The sequence below is a fragment of the Homo sapiens genome, chromosome 20 (assembly GCF_000001405.40).
Source record: "Homo sapiens chromosome 20, GRCh38.p14 Primary Assembly".
Lineage (NCBI taxonomy): Eukaryota > Metazoa > Chordata > Mammalia > Primates > Hominidae > Homo > Homo sapiens.
Window position 1 is genome coordinate 51,518,396 of NC_000020.11, and position 23,334 is coordinate 51,541,729.

Consider the following 23,334-nt stretch of genomic DNA (forward strand, 5'->3'; position numbering starts at 1 on the left):
GGAGCCCAGGGGGTAGCACCTCCATAAACTTCATCTGTGCCAGAGTCCAACTTAAACATTTCATCCAACTTATAATCATATCCTCCCTGTGCAAGCAAATCTCCTCCCCTTCTTTCCAACCACATTGCCTCCTGAAATCCCTCTTACCCTGCAGTCCTTTTTTTTGAAGTTTCATATTCTTTAATTTTGAAATATCGAAAATGGATTCAAATGGACTAACATTATCAAATAATCACTCACATCTAACCATATGATTTCCATATAGTTTGATACAATGATAAAAAGAAAACAAAAATTACAATGAAATAGAGTTGACTTTAAAGAATATTTAACTACTCATTCATTTATTGACTACTGCAAATTTTTCACTCTCTAGGGCTATGACATGAACCATGAAGTATATTTTTAATTTTTTCTTTTTTTAAAATATGGGCTCTTGCTGTTATCCAGTCTGGAGTACAGTGGTGCAATCATAGCTCACTGTAGCCTCAAACTCCTGGGCTCAAACTATCCTCCTGCTTCAGCCTCCTGAGTAGCTGGGAACACAGGTGTATGCAACCAGGCCTAGCTAAGTTTAAACATTTTGTGGCGGGGCCAGCTGGGATTACAGGTGTGAGCCACTGCGCCTGGCCACTCTGCAGTCTTAGGGTATCCAAAGTGCCTTTATTTTACCTTAGTTACAGTGCCAACATGCTTTCAAGCTTCTGCCTGCAACCAACGAGCCACACGTGTCAAACACTTTTACCCATATCATATACACAAGTGAAAAGTTTTTAAAGGTTTACAAACTATGACTCCTTAAAAAACCACTTTAGCCCTGTATTAATATGCTTTAAAGCACCAAAAATTTTGTGAGAAGAAAATTCAGCGGCATATCCCCAGGTATCAATTTATACTTTTGTTTGGTTCCGAAGTAGGTATTTGATGCTGAAATACAATCTGAAGAAGTAGAGCATGCCTGTAATCCCAGCACTTATGGGAGGCTGAAGCGGGTGGATCATGAAGTCAGGAGATCAAGACCAGTCTGGCCAACATGGTGAAACCCTGCCTCTACTAAAAATACAAAAAAAAAAAAAAAATTAGCCAGGCATAGTGGTGTGTGCCTGTAGTCCCAGCTACTCGGGAGGCTGAGGCAGGAGAATCACTTGAACCCAGGAGGCGGAGGTTGCAGTGAGCCGAGATCAGCTACTGTACTCCAGCCTCGGCGACAGAGCAAGACTCCATCTCAACACAAAAAAGACCGGGTGCGGTGGCTCACACCTGTAATCCTAGCACTTTGGGAGGCCAATGCAGGCAGATGACGAGGTCAGGAGTTTGAGACCAGCCTGACCAACATGGTGAAACCCCATCTCTACTAAAAAAAAAAAAAAAAAAGCCAGGTGTGGTGGCAGGTGCCTGTAATCCCAGCTACTCAGGAGGCTGAAGCAGGAGAATCACTTGAACCCAGGAGGCAGAGGTTGCAGTGAGCTGAGATCGCACCACTGTATTCTAGCCTGGGTGACAGAGCGAGACTCCATCTAAAAAAAAAAAAAAAAGAACAAAAAAGAAGTAGAGCATCAGAGCCAGCATGAAATTCTGATTTGAATTCCAGCCCTCTGCTGAGTTGCCTGTATAAGCTGAGATCAATGTTATCAAGAGACTTCCCTGATGCCCCATCCTCTCAACTTTATAGAAGATTCTTGCAAAGACCACATCGGCTGGCACAGGTTGGTACTTGTGAGGAACTAAAGGACTCTGACACTCAAAACCTCTCTGATCAACCTGCCTAATGGAGAGGAAAGGATTTTGTAAACAAAGTGTCCGATAAATGTATCATAATCATATTTTATAGCAGTGTCCCTCCCTATTCTCAACCACTAAATAAAATCATGGTTTGGAGACTGACCTGTCTACGTAGCACAAAGAACAAGGAGTTAAGAATCCCAGATTCTAATTTTCAATGTAGTCATTAACTAGCTGGTGATCATGGGGCTTGTCACTTCACCTCTCTGAGCCCAAATTTCTCAATCTGTACCAGGAGTTAGTCTTGATCAGGATTTTCTTTTTTTTTTTTTTACAGTCCATTTCCGTGTGGTACGGGGGTGTGTGTCTAGTTTGCACCTGTCTCCCCAGTGACTAGCACAGTGCCTGGCTGCATTTCATGAAAGAATGAAGGAAAAGTGAACGAAGGGTAAAAAGAGAAGGAAAGCAGGAAGGAAAGAAAAAGGGAAAAAGAAGAAAAGGATGTTTCCTTTTTATTTATTTATTTTTATTTATTATTATTATTATTTATTTTTATTTTTTTGAGACAATTTTACTCTTGCTGCCCAGACTGGAGTGCAATGGCACCATCTCAGCTCACTGCAACCTCCGCCTCCTGGGTTCAAGTGATTCTCCTGCCTCAGCCTCCCGAGTAGCTGGGATTACAGGCATGCAACATCACACCCGGCTAATTTTGTATTTTTAGTAGAGACAGGGTTTCTCCATGTCGGTCAGGCTGGTCTCAAACTCCGACCTCAGGTGATCCGCCCGCCTCTGCCTTCCAAAGTGCTGGGATTACAGGCATGAGCCACTGTGCCTGGCAGCATTTTCTAAGATAGCCCTGTGAAACTTCAGTCACCAAACTCAGAACTCTGTAGCCAAATGGCCTTTGAAATCACCGCATATTCTGTCCACACTGAAGTCTCTGAGAAGGCCTGCACACAGGCACCTACTTAACTCTCTTAAACCCAGAAACTCCTTTTTTTAAAGATACAACAACTGACATACTGTAGCCCTGGTGTTCTCAGAACCTGCTGTGGAGGAAATGCCAGGCTGGATGCTCCCTGCTGTCCATTTTCATCTGGTATGGGGGTGAACAAGGCCCAGCGGGCAGGGCCCGAGGCCACCCTCAACCCCACACCAATCAAAAGAGCTCTACCTTTATCTATTTAGGTACTCAATTTTTATTTTTATTTTTTTTTTGAGGTGGAGTCTCACTCTGTCACGAAGGCTAGAGTGCAGTGGCATGATCTTGGCTCACTGCAACCTCCGCCTCCCAGGTTCAAGTAATTCTCCTGCCTCAGCCTCCCGAGTAGCTGGGATTACAGGCATGCACCACCACACCCAGCTATTTTTTGTATTTTTAATAGAGATGGGGTTTCGCCATGTTGGCAAGGCTGGTCTTGAATTTGCTACCTCAGGTGATTCGCCCACCTCGGCCTCCCAAAGTGCTGGGATTACAGGCGTGAGCCACCGCACCCGGCCTATTTGGGGACTCAATTTAATATTGGGGATAAAAGGCTTCCATTTGCTAAAATAAAAAATAACCTGAAAACCACAGGGATCGTGGTAATAGCATGAGTCTTCCAATTCCTCATGTAGGAGAACAGATAGGATAATCTCTGGCCTTAGCCCTCATGTACCTCCTTTGTCATTTCATCAAAATGAAGATAAAAAATAATACAAACCAAGTTTCTGTGAGAATCAAATGAAATAACATACATAGAGAGTGCAATTCATCCACTGTATCCATGGGTTCTGTGTCCTCAGATTGAAAACATTCAGAAAAAAAATTCCATAAAGTTCCAAAAAGCAAAATTTGAATTTTCCATGCTGCAGTTTCTACTTTGAGTCCATGTGGTGTGCAGGCATTGTATTAGGTATTCTAAGGTATGATCATCTAGAGATGATGTAATGTATATGGGAGGATGTGCATAGGTTATATGCAAATACTATACCATTTTACATAAGGGACCTGAGCATCCTCAGATTTTGGTATCCCAGGATATCACTGCACAGGCTCTATACTAAGAGATTCACATATATCATCTCATCTAATCCATTTTTTAAAAAAACACAAGGTAGGTTCTATTATTTTCTCACAGGGAGTAAACCAAGACCACAAAGGTGCTCAGTACAAAAGCGGGGCGGGGGGGTCGGGGAGGGGGAAGCTCTTGATTGATTAGTGATGTCTGCGCTAGGCACGGCTTCATAAAGGTGCCCAATGAGAAAGAGGGTGCTGACTGATTAGCAATGTCTTTCACAAGCACAGCAGCAGAAAGGCAGCAGCAGAGATGCCCGTGTTCACTCAGGTAGTGAGTGGCGGAGGCAGGACTCAAAGCGAGCCTTAAGAGACTCCAAAGCCTACGTGCTATTCTGCTATCTACATACATCTCCTCAGCTTCCCAAGACTTTAAGCTCCTTGGCTCACATATTTCTTTTTTTTTTTTTTAGGTCCTCCATATAACTGCGGCACACAGCAGATGCTAACAAACATCACTTCCTCTTATAATGAGATAGATTTTACATATTAAGGCTTGCTTTGTGCCTACCAGAATGTCAGCTCCATGAAAGCAGAAATTTTTGCCTGTTTAGTTCACCACTGTCTCTCCATTACTTATGTAACAGAATCTGCCACCTAGATGTTTGAAAAACACTTTTTGAATAAACCAGGTGCCATATGAGCAATTACATTTATCATGACTGCATCCTCATAGCCACCTGGTGAGTCAGGTACACGAATTATACCCATTTTACAGATGAGAAAAACCTGGCCCGGGAATTTAACTTCCGTCTCAGGGTCTCGCAACCAGCAAGGGGCCAAGCCAAGATTTAAATCCATTTAAAGTCAGTCTTAAACCTGACTCTGAATCCCATGCTCATAACCAGAAAACCATCTCTTAAAACTAAACCACAGAATCAATCATTTTCAAAGCCCTGCTCACCTGCAGATGGGAATGGCAGGCACCAGCGGCTTGGGCCAAGTGGGCGGAACCAGCAGGATGGATTCTGGAGCCGAGTTTCTCCTCTCGCCCTGCTCGCAGGGCCCCAGGAACTCCACGGCCGGGTAGATGTGGCGAGGCAGGCCGGCCTTGGATGGGGCGGCAGACACCGGCGAGGGGTCAGGGCTGGTCTTCCACATCTTGGGGGGGATCCCACAAGGCGAGTCCGTGGCGAGGCTGTTCAGGGCATCCATGATCACGGCAGAGCCAGCCACAGGGGGGTACCCAGCCGGGGAGCCGTGGTCCTGGGGTGCCACGTGAGATGAGGGCTGCGGCGAGGGGCTCCGGGAGCGCTGGGGTGAGGCTCCGGGCGGCAGGGCAACCAAGGCCTCGGCGCACGAATGCCTCCGCTTGGCACCAGGCGATGAGGAGCGGGAGGCCGGACGGGGCACGGGCGAGTGGCGGCCCAGGCAGCTGTCCTCGGCGAGGCTGGTTCGAGGTGACATTATTGGCGAGGTTCTGGGGGAATAATGAGCAGGGATGTTTTGAAACTGCGGACACAGGTCGTCGGGCCCGCCGTTATTGGGCGAGACGCAGGGCGAGGTGTAGGGGGAGAAGGTGTCAGAAATGAAGCTGGCAGAGGAGCCGCTGCTAGCGGGGCTCAAGCAAAGCGGCTCGCGGTAGCCCTCGAAGCCGGGCACGGGCAGGGTGAACCTCGGGCTGGCGGCCACCCCGGCCAGGGGCGGCTGCTCCACCAGGAGGCCCGCGTCTCTCATGCGGAGGGGCCCCACTGCCTGGATCAGTTCGTGGGACGGAGTGATCTCGATCCGAGGGCTCAGGCCCGAGGCCCCTGCTGGCTTGGCCGCGCTCAGAAACTTCTGCGGCCCTACCCTATCCGGCTCTCCGAATCGGCCGGGGGGCTCGCCAGAGAGACTAGCAAGGGGGCTGTATGGCTTGAGGCCATAGTCCAGGACATCATCGGGGTATGCGGGTCCGGAGGGTGGGCTGGCGACCTTATGTGCATTCGGCTCTTCTGGAAAGAGAAGGGGGAAGGGGGTTCTTTTTAAGCCTCAAAAACAGAACTCCCGGTGCAGAGCAATCACAGGCTGGATTTCGTCTCACGTCGTTTATTTTTTTCAAATTCCCACCATGCCAAACCCCAAGCTAGAAGCTCCGTCCCTCACCAGAAGAAAACTGAGGCCACTTTGTCCCAGGTCCCTGGAGAAGACAGGTCGAAGCAGAATGAGTTCTGGAAGACCCCTGGGCTAAGGGCCTCGAAACTTGGCTTTAAATGAAACCCTTCGGAGAAGTGCACTTTATCTCACAACCCCATTCACGCCACCATATACACCCACAACTGAAACAAAAGCCTCTCGAGTCAATACTTACCCCTGCTACATGACACCCTCAGACCCTCCCTCCTGCCTGAGTGATTTTGCTTCAACGCTGGTCACGACCCATTAGACGGATCCCCTAACCCGTCTGCGCGGTAGGTCATGACCCCTAGTTTGAAAAGCACCTATCTAGGGCCTATGGCAGCACTCTACACACATGACGTGGACGCAGGACACAGAGGGAGGCTGCGCAGACTCTGCAGCCCACAGTGCCCTGGGCTTCAATCCCAGATTTCACACCAAGTACAAGAAGTGGCTTCATTCAGATCCAGGGCTCCTGACTCATGTCTCATCTGTGTCATTTTACAAATGAGGAAACTGAGGCCCAGAGCGGGGAAAAGGCCCACCGAAAGATACGGAATTAGCAGGCTTAAAAATACCACAGGCAAGCCACTTGCCCCCCAACAGGCAGGGTCACTGCTACAGAGGTTACCTGACACCCAAACTATTAGACCCAATGGATGCAGGCCGGGCGTGGTGGCTCACACCTGGAATCCCGGCACTTCGGGAGGCTGAGGCGGGCAGATCACTTGCGGTCAGGAGTTTGAGACCAGCCCGGCCAACATGGTGAAACCCCATCTCTACTAAAAATACAAAAATTAGCCAGGCGTGGTGGCACAGGCCTGTAATCCCAGCTACTCAGGAGGCTGAGGCACAAGAATCGCTTAAAACCAGGAGGCGGAGGTTTCAATGAGCCAAGACTGTGCCACTGCATGCCGGCCTGGGTGATAGAGTGAGACTCTGTCTCAAAAATAAAATAAAATACACTAAAATAAAGATAAAACCAATGACTGCAAAATGACCTAACTTCCTCTTTTAGCGGCTGCCTAGCCCGGGCTCCTGCTGCCACCTCGAAAGGCCCTACCGCTGCAGAATGCTGTTCAAGTAGAATGTTCTATGTCAGCCACCCAAGGACACTGCCACCCATCACCTCACACTGTCATTTAATTCTCAGCCTGACCCTCTTCTAGCAGACACCCTGCCTCACTGCATCCTGTACAGGTCCAGGCACGTGGGGCTGCTTGGGAAATTCCCACGGAGTTAGTGCCACCCACCCACCCCTCACAGCAACTCCACCTCCAAGGCCCCCCACCTCATCAGAGGCTCCTCCAACCTCCCCGCCAGCTCATGGGGCGGCCTGGACTCCTTACTCTGATGCCTCACATCTGATCCATCATCAGCCCTGACTGCTCCACTGTCAGAACAGAAACTAGATTCCCAGGTCTCCCCATTCCATCGCATCCACCCTGGTCCAAGCCGCCGTCCTCTCCCATGGGGACTACTGCAGTCATCTCCTCCCTGGCCTCCCCACTTCCTCTGTGGCTCTGTCAGTCTGTTTGTCACGCAGCAGCCTTTAAAATGTCCATTCTCAAAACCTACTATAAAGGCTTCTGGACACTTTAGATGGAACCTAAAGTCACTAACGCAGCATGTGCCCCGGCCTGCCACCCACCCCCACCACTCCCCACTTCTCCCCAAGCTGAGTCAGCAACAACCCCTCCAACCTCTTCGCCGTACTTAAGCAGCTCCTGCCTCAGACGCCTTGGGTTCCCTCTGCCTGGAAACCCTCCCCGCGAGATCCTCCCACTTCCCCTGGTTCCTTCCTGCATCTGCTCAGCCCGCACCTCCTGAGATCGACCCATCAAAAAGATCCCCTCCTTCCCTTTTCCCTGCCATCTTTTCTCCACTGACGCCTGCTAACAGCTCCCGTCGCACCAGGTATCTGTTTAGGGAATCTCATTCTGCCAAACCAGGTGCAGGCAAACCACAGCCCATGGGCCAAATGCGGCCCATGGGTTGTGTTTGTAAATAGTTTTATGACAACACAGCCAGCCTATTTATTGACACAGGGTGAACAAAGCAAGCTACAGCTTGCTCCTATACTACAACAGCAGAGTTGGTAGTCTGGGAACCGAATGGCCCCCAAAGCCTGAAATATTTACTCCTTGGCCCTTTAGAGAATTTTACAACCCCACACTCGACCCAGAGCTCCGTCAGTGTTGGGCCCGTGTCACTGTGGCCCAGCATTGTCTGCCAAGCACCTACCACAGGGCCTGGCACTTGCAAGCCCCCATAAACATTTGCCGAGTGGCTGAGAGAATAAGTAAATATAAGAACCATGTCCGGGGCCTGCCAGCCAGAAACAAGCCCTCTTCCTGCTTTGGGGGACCCCAGGTGGCCACCCCAGTGAGCCTCAGCCTCCTTGTTCCCTTTCTGGGCTATCCTAGAGGAAATACTGTCCAGTTTAGCCAAGCTGATCTCTTAGGGTCCATATGGTACCCCTACTTCCAAAATGGCTCCCCACAGCTCTTAGGTAAAAATAAATGACCCCCGCCAGGCAGCCTGGCTGGGCCCTGCCTGTGCATCTACCCTCGCCTGCATTCACTCTCTCCCCTCCCTCTCTCTGAACTCCAGCCAAAGGGGAGTGTGGTGATTTTTGTTTTGTTTTTGAGGTCTTACTCAGCTGCCCAGGTTGAAGTGCTGTGGCGCAATAATAGCTCACTGCAGCCTCCACCTCCCAGGCTCAAGCAATCCTCCCACCTCAGCCTCCCAAGTAGCTGGGACTACCAGTGCACACCACCGGGCTCAGCTAATTTTTTTTTATTTTTAGTAGACAGGAGGTCTCACTATGTTGCCCAGGCTAGTCTCCAACTCCTGAGCTCAAGTGATCCTCCCACCTCAGCCTCCCAAAGTGTTGTGATTACAGACGAGAACAACCGTGTCTGGCAAAGGGGAGTTTTTAAAAGCATCAAGCTCCTTCCTGCCCCGGGACCTTGGTACTTGCTGCTCCCCCTGCCTCAACAGCTCCTCCCCTACCCACTGCCAGGCCCCCTTCTCCACAGGACTAAAGCCCATTCATGCCCATGAGCTGGGCTTAAGTACTGCATGCTTCTAGAAGGACCCCTGACCACTTGACTAGCTCAGGCCCCACTCACAGGCCCCTGCTGTGTTCTGTGCACATCTCACCATAACGACTGAGGAACTGTGGAGTGCTCCGTTTCCCTCGACCTCCAGTCTGCCCTTCCCTCGACCTCGAGATCCACCCCCACCAATCAGCAAATGCCATGAGGACTCTTGCTCCGCCATGCCCCTAAGCACTTGGAATGGTCCTGCCACTAAACAGGCCCTCAGAAAGGATGTGTTGGCTGAATGAATGAGGCAAGTTCAGAAAAGTCTACCTGGAATAAACTATTACTCAAAGATGCTAATATCCAAACCAAAAGATAGAAGGCTATAACTCTAGAGAGGGTCATTTTGTAATATCCATGAAAATTCCAAACACACGTGCCCCCGGAACCACATGTGCCCTCGGAACCAAGCAATGCTACTTTTAGAAATTCATCCTGGGCCAGTCATGGTGGCTCACACCTGGAATCCCAACCGTTTGGGAGACAGAGGTAGGAAGATTGCTTGAGGTCAGGAGTTTAAGACCAGCCTGGGCAACGTAGAGACCCCATCTCTAAAACAAAAATTTTTTTTTCATTAGCTGGGCATGGTGGCACCTACCTGTAGTCCCAGCCACTGGAGAAGCTGAGGTGGGAGGATCAAGGCTGTAGTGAGCCATGATCGTACCACCACCTCCCAGCTTGGGTGACAGGATGAGAACCTGTCCCAAAAAAAAAAAAAAAAAAAAATTCTTCCTGCAGATATACTCTCACCTGTGCAAAATGACCTGTGTATGCTTAAGATTCATTACTACAACCCTGACTGTAATCCCAAAAGACTGGAAGCAACCCAAAGCCCATCTATTGGGGATGAATTAATTCTGGCTCATTCATATGATGGGATACAGTATAGCTACAAAAAGGCCTGAAGAAGTTCTTTATGCATTGACATGGAATGACCACTGAGATTTAGTATTAGAGAAAAGCAAGCTGTATAGTGTGCACAGCATAAAAAGTGAGAGGATGTACACAAACACAGAGAGATGTACACACAATGTACACAGACAGATGTACACACAGATGTATACAGATTACACCTGCACATATATACACAGATGTACAGATGTACACGCACAGACAGATGTACACACACATATGTACACACACAGACAGATGTACACGCACAGCTGAAGGATGCACAGGCTTTCTCTGGAAGTCACAAGTAATAGTGACATCCTCCAGGGAGGGGAACTAAGGAATGGGAGGACAGTGGCATGGCAGAAAGGAGACTTCCTTTGATTTGTGTAATTGTGTAAGAAAATAAATGTAACTCCCAAAAGAAACATTTTTAATTTTATTTCATAGGTGGTAGGTGACATAGCATGATATACAGTAATGAAACCCTGTTTTACGAAGCAGGAAATGAAGAGTGCAGTCCTGCTCCGCCACTAAGTAGCAGCGTGACTTTGGAAAAGTCCCCCACCCACTGGAGGCCTCAACACCTTCTCATTTATAACTGAACAGCATTAAACTGAATCAGTTTCCTTGGTGGCTTCTGGCTCTGAAATCCTTTGATTTTTCTAGCTAGCATCTGTAAGGCCTGGAGTTCTTGTGAGGCTGTAGTTTAATGTAAATGTGTATTTGAATTCGCACATACACACACACACGCCTTCCTAGAAGGTAACAGAGCACAGAGTTTTAATCTAGGAAAAGAGGAATGTCAAACCCATGGCCGACAACATTCTGAGAATTCACTGCCCTTCGAACCAGAAAAACAAAACACAAAAAGTTTCTTAGCAAAAATTCCGGCCGTATCAGAAGAACTGCACTGTATCTTATCAGAAACACACCCTTGGGGCTGATGTGCACAGTCCACAGAAACGCAGTCCTGAAAACACACATCACTCACACTCCCTAGGAGCTCTGAAAAACAGAAAGCTCCAGTGTGCTGAGCAAAAGTATTTAAAGCATTTACATTGGTTTTCATTAATCCAAGCGGCAGTTTTTTTTTTTTCCTCTTGACAAGACTTTAAATGTTTACCAGCAAGCAGGGAATATGAAGATAATTAATAATCATTTAATTCTCAGTCCCCTGGGTATTTGACAGTAAATTTCACAAATAGCACATCATTAAAATATTTCTCTAAGTCAGTGGCTGAGATTCGTCACTATTTCTCCTTAAACAACTGCCACGCTCACAGGCGGCTTTCTTACAGTCATCACGATGCCCGCACGGCACTGGGTGAAGTTAGTTTCATCTCAGAACCACCAAATGTTCTCAGGAGGATTTCCAAAAAGCTTGCTTTTTTTTTAACCACTTGCACGATCTTTGCTCTATCCATGTGCCACCAAAAAGTATTTACTTAATACTTCTAGTATTTAAATTCACTCACTTATTTTTTTTTTATTTTAAAAGGAAACTTTACACCACTACTGCAGATGGAAAATCAATGTCACCTCCATAAATAGAAGGTAGGGTAAAAATACAATAAAAATAAAACTTACTAAATTCAAGCAAGACACAGTGGCTGGGCAAAGGCTCTGAGTCTGAGGCTTTATACAGCCCCGCCCCCGCCAATGCTTCTGCGGTATAACTCATATACACAGATGTCAGTGTTTTGAGTATAGAGTTTGACGAGTTTTGCCAAATGTCATACATTCTTGCTACCACCAACATAATCAAAATATGGAACATTTCCAAGACCCCAGAAAGTCAAGACCTAGGAACAGGGAAAGGGAGGAGCCAGTGTTAGAAAGAAAGGTGTCAATGGTACAGCAGTACCTCACTGAAGCGCTACTCCTTTTTTGTTTGTTTGTTTTTTGTTTTTTGAGACAGAGTCTTGCTCTGTTGCCAGGCTGGAGTACAGTGGTGCGATCTCGACTCACTGCAACCTCCGCCTCCCGGGTTCAAGCGATTCTCCTGCCTCAGCCTCCTGAGTAGCTGGGATTACAGGTGACCACTACCATGCCCGGCTAATTTTTTTGTGTTTTCAGTAGAGACAGGGTTTCACCATGTTGGTCAGGCTAGTCTCGAACTCCTGACCTCAAGTGATCTGCCCACCTCGGCCTGCCAAAGTGCTGGGATTACAGGCATTAGCCACCATGCCTGGCCTGAAACTCCACTCCTTCTGACTAGTTCAAAGAGAAAATAGCGCTGAAAAATAGTTCTTAGCACATACAACGTCCTCACTGGTGGACCACCTAAAATCCATTTCACCTACCATGGGAGGTACCTGGCCTGCATACGAAGCATCAGTACCAAAGGGAGGAAGAAGATAGAAGCAGGGATGGGGGATTCAGAGGTTGCTGCTCAAGGGCCTCTGTACCTCCATGTCACGCACATGCTGTTCCCCTTACCCAGAACTCCCTTCCATACCTCCCGACCTTACATCTCCTAACAAGCCACTATTTATCCATCATGACTTGACCTGAGCCACCCCCTCCTGGAGGCCCTCCCTGTTTCCCCAGGCTGGATCAGGCAGCTCTTCTACACTCCCAGGTCCCACAGAGTCCCACATTGAAGTCTATCTATGGATTCACTCGTCTGTCTACCCTCTAGACTCTGAGGTTCTTAGAGGCAGATAGGAGTCTTACATCAATAATTATTATGAAGATGATTATAATGCAGAAAAAGCAGCTAAAATATATTGAGAACTTACATGCTAGGCATTGTTATAAGCACATTACATGTAGTAAATTACTTGATCCTCACAGCCACCTACCCACTGGATGCCAATAGCAGCTGCCCTGTCCCTCTCCCCGTTGTGGCAACCAAAAATGTCTCCAGGCATCGCCAAACATCTCCTGCCAGGCAGGCTCGCCCCCAGCTGAGAACCACGGCTCCTGGCTTTAGAGCCCCAGCATGGCACAGGAGGCCTGCGCACAGCAGAGGCCCAAAGACTGCTGGAAGCATCAACTCATGACTCACGCCCTCAACCTGAACTGATTCAGAAATGAGACATCTTCTCACTCTCAGCCCTGGCAGGTGACGCTCATCTCTGTGGCAGACACCTGAAAGTTCTCATTCTTATCACCCCTCCTTTCATCAAGTTCCTGGGTGCTTACCCAATAGGTAGGCCCTGTGAATATGTGGAGAAATCTCTGGCCACTCCCAAAAACTACAGGACAAGATTGCTGGGGAGGCCAGTTCAGCCCTCCTCTTTGCCCCACCAAGCAAGAGCTCTACGCTGAGATCCAGGTCTCAGTCAACAGAGGGTAGCACGGGGTTAGGGGACTCCAGATCCACTCCCACCCCCGGCTGTGAGACTTGGGGAAACTCCATGTCCTCATGTGTGACACGGGGTGATGACACTGGTGATGATACAAGCCTGTCGGTTTCCCTAACCTATGCAAAGCCCAAGACACACAGAATCAATACCCAGTAAATGGGGCCTACTGGATTATTATTGAAAGAACAATCTTTTCGGTGACAATTCTGCCCTTTCCCTGCTATAGTTAGTCTATTTTACAACAACTTGAACGCACTAGTCCCCAACCCCTTCGAAAGCATTACGAAAAAAAGGAAGACATTTTTATAAAAATAAAATGGGTTGGTCAGCACTTTAGGAATTCTCTTTTTACCTCAGATCCTGCTGACCTTCAGAAAATGTGTGGAGGAGGTAAAACGTGCTTCCAACACCCTCTCCATTCCACACTTTGTACTTTTCCTCCCAGGCTACCTGGCAGTGGATCGACTAAATCTTACTAAAGTGTTAGTGGGTCAGTGAGCCGCTTGTCATAATCAAAATACTAGCACATCTATACCACTTACTTTATATCGAGAACTGTACGCATCTAGTGTATGTTCATATTTGTCTCACAAGAACCCTATGAAGCAGCTGATATCGTTTCCCCATTTTATATAGGGGGAAAATGAGGCTCAGAGAGGGTGAGTAATTTGCCCAAGGTCACACAGCTTCTAAGTAGCAGAGCCAAGATTCATTCTCAGGCAACCTGGCTCCTCCACCCCCCTAACCACTACTTTATCCTGCATCTCAGGAAAGAGGTGATTTCCTGGATGGCGACACCCTGACCCTGACACAGGGAAGCAAGGATCCCCCCCGGAAAAGAAATCACTCTGGGGGCCTCATCATTTCACTCGGGAGGTGGGCTGCCCCTGACAACTGAAGACACAGATTCCTTTCTTCGGGAATGTTCACAGTCTCTCCTTTTGCCCCAGGATTGAGTCAAAGATTATTTTAAAAATCCACTCAGGCCACACAGTGGTCCCCGCCAGCGCCTCTCCCCCTGGAAGCTCTGTGAGCCTGTTGCTCACCCTCGCAGACGGACACACAGCCAAGTCTGAGGTGGCCGCTCGCTCAGCGCCAACCCGCCAGCCAACAGATCACTTTTGAAAAAAGGAACAGCAAGAGAACATCTTCTCTGCCTAGAACTGCAGGCGGGTGGAATTTTCGGGAAGCAGAATCGTATGACCAAAATAGAAACCCAGCTAGGGAACCTCTGAGAGGCAGCCGTCCTTGGGGGGCACAGGGAGGGGCAGAGGCAAATGGAGCTTTCAGGCTTGAGTGGCTGGGAAGAGAGAAGCAGGGCCTGGCCTGGGGGCTGGATGCCCCTCCGATGGGCAGCAGGGCCACAGGGCTCCACTGATCCCTGGCCAAGCTGATCCGACCCACGGCTTGATGAGCTCACCCCGATGCCGAGGTGGCGTGAGTCCCAGGGCCTGGGTTTGGGACATGACAGTCTGTCGCCAAGGCAGCACTTAGGATGCCACAGCTGGCACCGCAGATCTGTAGCCGGAGGAAAGGGGAGCAGACAGAGAGGCAAACCTCGCCTCCTGCCACTCGCCCCGACAACTCTCATAACTTCCTGCCCATCAGGGGCCACAAAGAATCCCAAAACAGAGCAGGAAGGTGGACAGATTCTTCATCCGGCAGGTGTGCACAACCTAGAGAAAGAACCCCTTTGAAAAGCAATGGGTTGCCTCCAAATAACAAATCTGACACTCAGCAAACTTTCTGACAAGCCCCCAGACCACTGCTGCCCACGCCCCACCCAGTCACACACATACACCACCTAACAGTAAGTAGATTCTCAATCAATGAATCATGTGTATTAATGACCAGAGTCAGGTTGTCACACCCTTCGTTCGGAGGTGACACATACAGACACAGGCCTGAAAGTCGAGAAATTCCATCTGGATAAATCAGGTCCAGAAATGCCAAAAAGGAAAGGGAGGACATTTGCCATCCTGTCTCGTCCATGGAACCACTGGAAAAAGTCATCCTGAAGGCGATGTCTTTGCTGACCTTGCCCCAGCTAAGACAGCTGTCTGCCTTCCCCAGACGGGGCTGAAAGAAGGACTCAGTGGTGCCTTCCAGGCAGGCTGCCGCAAGGCCAGGCGCCCAGGACACAGGACTGAGGTGATCCACAAGCAATGAGGCTTGCAGACTGGCTCTGGCATGACCGCTTGCAAAAACACACGAACCCACGCGCTGACACGTATTGCTTTTGGATAGGGGTGGAGAAATGTATGGAATCTGCAACCCGCAGGCCTCAAGGTCACCTTTTAGATGGGGGCAGCAGGGCCCAGGCATGTGGCACACATAAGGACTCATCTCCATCTTCAAATCTGGATGGGAAGAACTGTCTCTTGCTGGTTTCAAGCCATTTCCTGGGGCCCTCCTGCCTTGGAGAATTCCAGAGATATTCCTATTTTTAGTCATTCTAATAGCTTATGTCCACTGTGCCGCAAGCTTTCACGTGTACGCTCCCCTGTTCTCTCTGCAGTTTACATAAACCCCTGGAGATAGCTACTCCGAACACCTCTGTGTTAGAGATGGGGAAATTGAGGCTTGGGGTGCAGGGAAATTCCCAAGACCACAAAAAGTCAGGGCAAAGCTTGCATTCAATTTCAGGGTGGGGGCTGCAGCGGGGGCCAGGGGGAGGGGCAGTGCACAGGGGGAAGGGCTGTACATGTGTAGCATGCACGTGTGTCTATACAAGATCTGCAGATTCCATCAGTTTTGTTTGTTTTTGAGACAGAGTCTCACTCTTGTAGCACAGGCTACAGTGCAGTGGCGCAATCTCAGCTCACTGCAACCTCTGCCTCCAGGGTTCAAGCAATTCTCCTGCCTCAGCCTCCCTAGTAGCTGGAATTACAGGTGCCTGCCACCATGCCCAGCTAATTTTTGTATTTTTAGTAGAGACAGGATTTCACCATGTTGCCCAGGCTGGTCTCGAACTCCTGACCTTAGGTGATCCACCCACCTCGGCCTCCCAGTGCTGGGATTAGAGGCCTGAGCCACTGAGCCCGGCCTTCATTAATTTTTAAAATATGCATCACTTACATGAAGTAAAATGCACAAATATTTCACATACATCTTGTGCCTTTGCATATATATACACACACTCGAACATTTCAAGTCCCCCAGAGGGTTCTCTGTGGCCCCCCTGAAGCCAGACACCCTCGCCCAGGAAGAACCACTCCCTGACTTTTCTCACCATATGCTGGGTTTGACTGTTCTCGAATGTCCCATAAATAAAATCATACAGGATGTATATGTCTCACTTATTTGGCTCAGCAGAATGTCTGAGCTTCACCCACATTGTGTGCAGTAGTCCTTTCTTTTTTATTGCTGTGTACTATTTCACTGTCAAATCCACCACAATTTATCCAATCACCTTGCTGAACTCCCTCCGTTTTTAAAGCATTTGAGATTAAACTCGTGATTTAGCAAGGTCTGCGTCTAACAGAAGAGAGTTCAATGCATGACAGAGAACAGACCTCAGAGTGGCTTCCTCACCAAAAGGAGAAGGAAAGATTTGGTCAGAAGAGTTCCCCAGAAATAGACTTCAGATAATCCTCCTGCAACAGGACTCGCCAGGGCTAAACCCACCCACTCTGTCAAAGGCCTGCAGAAGATGACATGAGCAGGGGAACATCCCTTCTTTCCATCCTCTGCCCAACTTAGCAAACAGTCCCTCTCTCCGACCAGCCACCTCTGCGAGTTTGGTCTCTTACTGATCCCCACATCCCCTCGCACAGCCTGAAAGGCTGATTTCCATTTTTCTTTCAGCCAACCTAAAATCCAAGTGGAAACTTCCCCCTTGAAGACAGTGGGGCCTGTGTAACCCTTGGCCGGGGTCAGAGATTTAAAATTAATGCCTTCTTGACTGACAGCTTCTTTATTTATACTTTTCCCCAGGAGCTTTCATTTCAGTGCCATGTTCCTGGGGGTGGGCACACTTCATCAGTGGCCCCTGCCAACCCCCTGGTTATTAAGACATTCCTCCCTACTCCATGGCAACAGAGGTGATGTCACCCATTGTGGATTTTAGACCTGCAGCGCACCTTCTTAGGATTATACAGGTAAACAGCCCCTTTCCATAACCTTTAAAATAACTTTAGCAGGCATTTCAGACTTGGGGTTTTTTTTCCCCCTCATTTAACATTCTCACTTTTGCAGGCATGCCCAAGCAGGTCTGTTTTGATAAGGACCTTCATAAATCCTGAGCTTTGCTGGCCACTTTCTTCCCTTCAGACCCAGCTGAAGAAATGCTCTTTTTCCAAAACCTCAGATTACAAGGTCGGGAGGGTCCCAAATACCAACCCAGGAAAAGCAATCTCCCCACTCTGCATGTGGCTTACAGTCTGCCTTTGGTATATTTCTTCCACAGAGGGAAAAAGCATTAAAGATTCAAGTGCAGGGCTTTAGATCCAAATGCCCAGGAGGCAGGCAGGACCATCCACCGGGATGGAGAAAGAAACAGAAAAATAGCAGAGCTCCCTGTCATTTCTCATTTCTACCTTAGCCAGGAGTTTTCCAATGAGTATAATCCCATTAGGACAGTAGCAAGATACAATTTCTAATTATATAAATATCAACTATAAGAGGTGAACGTGCACACATCCCACCGTACATGAGACACATCAGACAAAGCTAGAGACAGCAGCTCCATACGGTGTCCTGCTGCCCTCCAGGGCCACATCCTGGCTGTGAGATATAGTGCTGATGGCAGGGACCTAGAATGCTCAGTGCCCAAGTTCAAGGCCTGCCCTGCCACTTACCAATGCAAACTCTCAGCAAAGTTACCTTACCCCCAAGAACCTGATCTCACTGGTCCAGGATGCAGCCTGAGAACTTCTAATGCAGCCAGGACTGAGAGCCCCTTGCCACCCATTCTACATTTTTCAAATGTATTTAACCTGCCACCTGATATGGCTGGAGAGCCTTGAGAACCAACCTGAATAACACTGCTTTAAAGTTTTAGGAGCCTCTACTCCTGATCAAAATCTATGCCACCAAAAGAACACAGGGGCTTGAATTTAGAAGCCAAGATGCCACGTGTTTCACAGGGAAGAGTGAGTGAGGCAACTTCATTTCCTCTGCCTCCCTGCAAGGCCGATGCTCAGTTCTAGCCCTCATTTCACCTTTCCAGCTGCACCTGGAGACGTTATTTGTCCAAAGCAGGCTTATTAAGGCCTGTCTTTAACTCAACACAGAAGGCAATGTCTCTGAATGTCACATGTGTTTAGTGAACCTGCTTGCTTAGTGTAGAACACTATTTTTAGCAAGCACCAAACACACACACACACACACACACACAGATACTGTATCACAGCACCTCATTTGTCCCTATTTGTTTACCAGACTGTGACCCATATTGGCCTGGGGGCCAGGGGAGGCCAGACACCATATCTAATTTGTCCCTATGCTGCTACAGGGCCTGGCACAAAACCAGCATTCAGTGTGTTTGCTGAAAGAATGGGGTTTTAATTGTGCCCTGTGAATGGGTCGAGAGCAGGTGTTCCTACACTGAAGTGCCAGTAAAATTAGGGAATGGGACACAGAAGGGTCTGTGAGTGCTGAGAAATGACATCAAAAGCACGTGGGGGGATATGAGAGGGAGTGGAGAGGGGAGGTGGGGATGTGTGGGTGGGGGGTGCAGGGGGTATGTGGTGAGGGGGCAGTGCCCAGGGGAAAGGGCTGCCCATGTGGAGCATGCACACGCATCGTGTGTGTGTCTATAGAATCTGCAGATTTCATCAGCTTTTTAAAGGGCTGTGACCTCAAAAGTGTAAGGATCACAGGAATAGACTCTATAAAACAACCAGCAGTGATCAGAAGGAACCAGTTTTCCTTTCTGAAAGGCCGAAGTTGGTATTAAATGCTTTAGCTTAGCAGAAATTGAAGGAGGGCTGCACCAGACTGTTAAGGCAAAGCAGATGTGAGCACTCCCCACATATCTGTCCCCAACACAGTAACTGGAGATCCGGCATCTCTGGAGGTGACCAGGGATTCCCAGTACCCACCCGTCTCTCTCAGTGTATTACAAGTTGGGAGAAATAAGAGTCCATTGTATTCACAAGCATGCATAAGGGAATTCAGCTTCTGAACTGTCTGCTGACAGCCAGCACATCTTCCCCTTCCAGGGTGGGATCAGTGGCCCCATCAGGACTCCCACATCCTTGCCCACCGGGTCTTTCTGTCACTGTGTACTTGGTTGTCTCCTCCACTAGAAAGAAAATTAAGAGTCTTCTTTGCACATCTCTAGTGAATACGTTTGAAACCTAGACAGATAAAATGGATAATTTCCCAGAAAGATAGAGTTTACAAAAATTGACTCCAGTAGAAGTAGAAAGTGTAAAGAGACCAATTCCCACAGTATAGAGAAAGCCATCAAGAAACAACTCCACAAAGAAGCACCAGGTCCAGGCGGCTTCACAGAGGAATTCTATCACAGCTTTAGAGACCAGGGAGTCCCAGGGAGACAGAAATTATTCCTGAGCTTAGAAAAGGAAAGAAACCTAAACCTGATAGCACAAAAAATAGGCCAATATGAATATCACTCATGAATACTGAAAAATGCTTAAATATTATCTGATGCCACAACCACCTTAAGAAAATAATACACCAAGTGGAGTCCATACCAAGGATGTCTTCATATAAAGAAATCTAATAATGTATGCCAACACATTAATAGGTCTACGAAGAATAAGATCATATTTTTCCATAGATGCTAAAAAAGCCTTTGATATAATTCAACTCCCATTTGTAATAAAAACTCTCGGGGGAAAAAAGAAAGAACTAATACTTCCTTTACATAATTCATACACCTCAATTTTAAAGCCAACACTGGAGTCCTCCTCCAAGGCAAGGATGCCCACTGTCTTCACTATCATGTAACACTCTACTGGAGGTATTAGTTAATGCAATTAGACAAGAGAAAACAACAGAGGCACAATTAGAGGCAGTAGCTCAGAGAGGACAGGATCTGGGTCTCATTCCCCGTTGTGACCCTAGGATCTAACACAGAGGGTGCTCAATAGCTGAATGAGTAAATAAACAATGGCTCATATTAATTGAACACCTCCATTAACAAAAGCAAGGGTTTACTAAACCACTAGTAACAGATCACATGCTGTGTTGATTTAAATGGGTTAACCTATTCAAGGCAGGTAACGGTCCTATGAGGCAAGTGGTATTATTTCAGCCATTTTACAGATAAGCAGACAGATGTCCAGAGAGATGAGATGACTTGCTCAAGATCACCTTGTTGGTAAACAAGGTTTTCAATTCCAGCCCTGCCATGGTCCCAGACACCTTGCTAACTGGTTTGCATGTGTCTCTCACCAAATGAGAGAATGAGGACCCTAACACAATAGTTCAGAACACATGGTATGGAGCAACACTGCCCATTTTGGGAAAATTACTTTACCTCTCTGTGCCTTAGCGTCCTCCTCCATAAAACAGGGGTGATAATAGTGCCTGCCTCCTAGGGTTGGAGTGGAATCACATGGGCTAATGAACGTCTGCTACATGCTAAACTCCATAAAATGAGCATCCGACCTCCCCAAAATTCCCTAATTTACCTTCACCAATTCTATCAACAATGTCTGCCCCATTAGCAGTACCTTTCCTTCCTTGGTTTTTGCCAAGCTCGTGCCCAGAGTTAAGGATAGAACTTTACATGCGTCACCAATATGTTGCCATCTGGGACAAAACCTAATAAAAAGATTAAGGCTAGTGTTCACCCCTGAGGAGTCCCACCATACAGAAGCAAAGAGAGGTGACTGCTATTAACATCTGGGTGACCCAGAGCCAGATGCACATCTGGGGCAGTTCACATTAGCCTCTTAAAGCTTACCATGTCCCTTCTCTTTTTTTGTCTGGTTTGTTGGTTTGAGACAGGGTTTCGCACTGTCCCATGGGCTGGAGTGCAGTGGCACGATCACGGCTCAGGGCAGCCTCGAACTCCTGGGGTTAAGAGATTCTCCTACCTAAGCCTCCGAGTAGCTGGGAAGCTGGGTCTACAGGCATGCGCAACTAGGCTAGGCTAATTGTTTTATTTTTTTATTTTTATTAGAGATGAGGTCTTGCTATGTTGCCCCAGCTGGTCTTGAAGCCCTGGACTCAAGCAATCTTCCCACCTCGACTTCCCAAATTGTTGGGATTGCAGGCATGAGCCACCACTCCCGGCCACAGCATCCCTTCTCTTTCTGGGTGCTAACTCTTCTGTGCTGCCTACTTCTCAGCAAAGAGTAAGTGCTTTCCAGATTCTGGAGTATTACTCTGTACTCCTTAAGTGTGGGCTTCATGTAGTAATGCCTTCCAAAGAGTTTGAAGAAACTGAGAAAAGCTACCTCTACTGGGTAATCAAGGTTAGCATTAATGATAAATGACATGGATAGTATACTTTTTGTTGTTGTTTTTTGAGACAGAGTCTCACTCTTGTCACCCAGGCTGGAGTGCAATGGTGCCACCTGCCTCACTGCAACTTCTGCCTACTGGGTTCAAGCAATTCTCCTGCGTCATCCTCCTGAGTTTCTGGAATTACAGTGCCTTCCACCATGCCTGGCTAATTTGTGTATTTTTAGTAGAGTTGGGGTTTCACCATGTTGGCCAGGCTGGTCTTGACCTCCTGACCTCAGGTGATCCGCCCGCCTCAGCCTCCCAAAGTGTTGGGATTACAGGCGTGAGCCACCACGCCTGGCTGGATAGTACATACTCTTGATACGATGTGATGAGAAGGGAGCTTTATCTTTGTGGGCTTCCTCCCGAAAACCTAGAGCCCTAGTCTAATGAAGGGACAGTCTACAATACAACCAACACTCCTCAAAACAGTGAAGGTCACATAAAACATTCCCAATCTGAATAAGGCATAAACCTCAGTTAATAATGTGTCAATATTGGTTTGTTGGTTACAATAAATGCACCATACTAATGTAAAACATTAATAACACGGGGAAACAGGGTATTGGGTATATGGGAACTCTCTGTGCTATCTTTGCAACTTTTCTGTAAATCTGAAACTGTTCCAAAAACTGAAGTTTTTTTTTTGTTTTTTTTTTTTTGAGAAAACAGATTCCAGGGCTTTCATTGTGGTCATTTAGATACCCATCTGGTGGCCACCAAGCAGCACTTGCCAAGAAAAACCATAAAAAGTACCTCCCTTCAGATTTGGCTTGGAAACTATTTCCCCGGAAATCCCCCCACCCCACCCGACAAGGAAAATAAAAGCTGATTACCAATCTGGGAGGGGTGTGAGTATTCGTTCCCTGAAAAACATGACTTTAATCTTAATGAACAGAAAGACCACGGATATTAGTGCGGATCGTTTGCAGATTCTTAATTGTATCTTTTCAAAGCAAAAGATGTCCTCCAGATTGCAACTCTAGAAGACTGGTCTCTTCTGTTGGCTAATTGTTTCCATCTCCAGCCAAGACACAAAATTATTACTAATGACCATCTCTGGGTATCCAAGGGAAGAGGATACCCAAAGCTAAAGCAAACCCCTCACCTAACGTGGCCAGAGAGGACACCGATGGAAGCGAAAACTTCATTATCTGCCTAACACAGTGTTTGTGGGAAACATCAGGCCACCAAGCCTCCTTGACAGGCTTCCTCCACGAGCCAGTCAGCACAAGCCCTTCCTACACACTAGATGGAGGCAAGCCCAGAGTGCGTCTGGAAGCTACTAACAGGCCTGCCACTGAGCCTTCAACAAGCATTGGCTGGGCTGGGCTGGGCTGTCAAAATCAGGAAGCCTGGTTGGGTTTTTTGTTTTTTCCAAGACAACCTGCTAACCAGAAATACACAGTGAGGTTGGGCGTGTGGCCGCTTCCCCCTCCTCCTCCTCCTCCCTCTAACGAATGCTCCTGTTAAACACGTGAAGTGACAGATAAGCATTGGGCCCAGCCCGGGGAAGTCCCCAGCCCCCAGCAACTGAGGGCAGTTGGAGGCACAGAGTGACAAAGTTCAGGCAGAAAGAGCCTGTGTCCTTCTGAATCCATGCTGCAGCTGCCCCTCACCCTACCCCATCCCACCACATCCATTAGGACTAAGCGTAGAAGATCACTTAATATAGCTCAGACCAATCCTCTTGTGAGTGGTAAGTGATGGGTTCAGCAGC

General features: G+C 47.9%; 1 protein-coding gene across 12 annotated transcripts in view, besides 4 other annotated features; it reads right to left on the reverse strand.

The window, feature by feature from the left end:
* NFATC2 (nuclear factor of activated T cells 2) overlaps positions 1-23,334 on the reverse strand; it is a 175,877-nt gene that overhangs the window by 131,433 nt on the left and 21,110 nt on the right. For 7 of the 12 annotated variants that reach the window (NM_001258292.2, NM_001136021.3, XM_017027851.2 and 4 more), the window contains exon 2: positions 4,686-5,715. In NM_001258292.2, coding sequence (NP_001245221.1) covers positions 4,686-5,715 — 1,030 coding nt within the window. The remainder of the gene's footprint in view (positions 1-4,685; positions 5,716-23,334) is intronic. The other 5 variants (NM_001258295.2, NM_001258294.2, NM_001258297.2 and 2 more) reach the window with 1 other exon arrangement.
* Positions 12,816-12,865: an enhancer, noted in NCBI's record as "active region_18113". NCBI's record gives its function as "activates an Ori minimal core promoter by ATAC-STARR-seq in GM12878 lymphoblastoid cells {active_cell/tissue: GM12878}" and the evidence as "EXISTENCE:reporter gene assay evidence [ECO:0000049][PMID:35858748]".
* Positions 12,906-13,075: an enhancer, noted in NCBI's record as "active region_18114". NCBI's record gives its function as "activates an Ori minimal core promoter by ATAC-STARR-seq in GM12878 lymphoblastoid cells {active_cell/tissue: GM12878}" and the evidence as "EXISTENCE:reporter gene assay evidence [ECO:0000049][PMID:35858748]".
* Positions 14,507-15,706: an enhancer, noted in NCBI's record as "P300/CBP strongly-dependent group 1 enhancer chr20:50149441-50150640 (GRCh37/hg19 assembly coordinates)". NCBI's record gives its function as "activates an origin of replication core promoter dependent on BRD2, BRD4, P300/CBP, MED14 and CDK7 cofactors, with strong dependence on P300/CBP, by STARR-seq in HCT116 cells {active_cell/tissue: HCT116}" and the evidence as "EXISTENCE:reporter gene assay evidence [ECO:0000049][PMID:35650434]".
* Positions 22,625-23,294: an enhancer, noted in NCBI's record as "H3K4me1 hESC enhancer chr20:50157559-50158228 (GRCh37/hg19 assembly coordinates)". NCBI's record gives its function as "activates a minimal SCP1, AML or CMV promoter by ChIP-STARR-seq in primed H9 embryonic stem cells {active_cell/tissue: H9 hESC(primed)}" and the evidence as "EXISTENCE:reporter gene assay evidence [ECO:0000049][PMID:30033119]".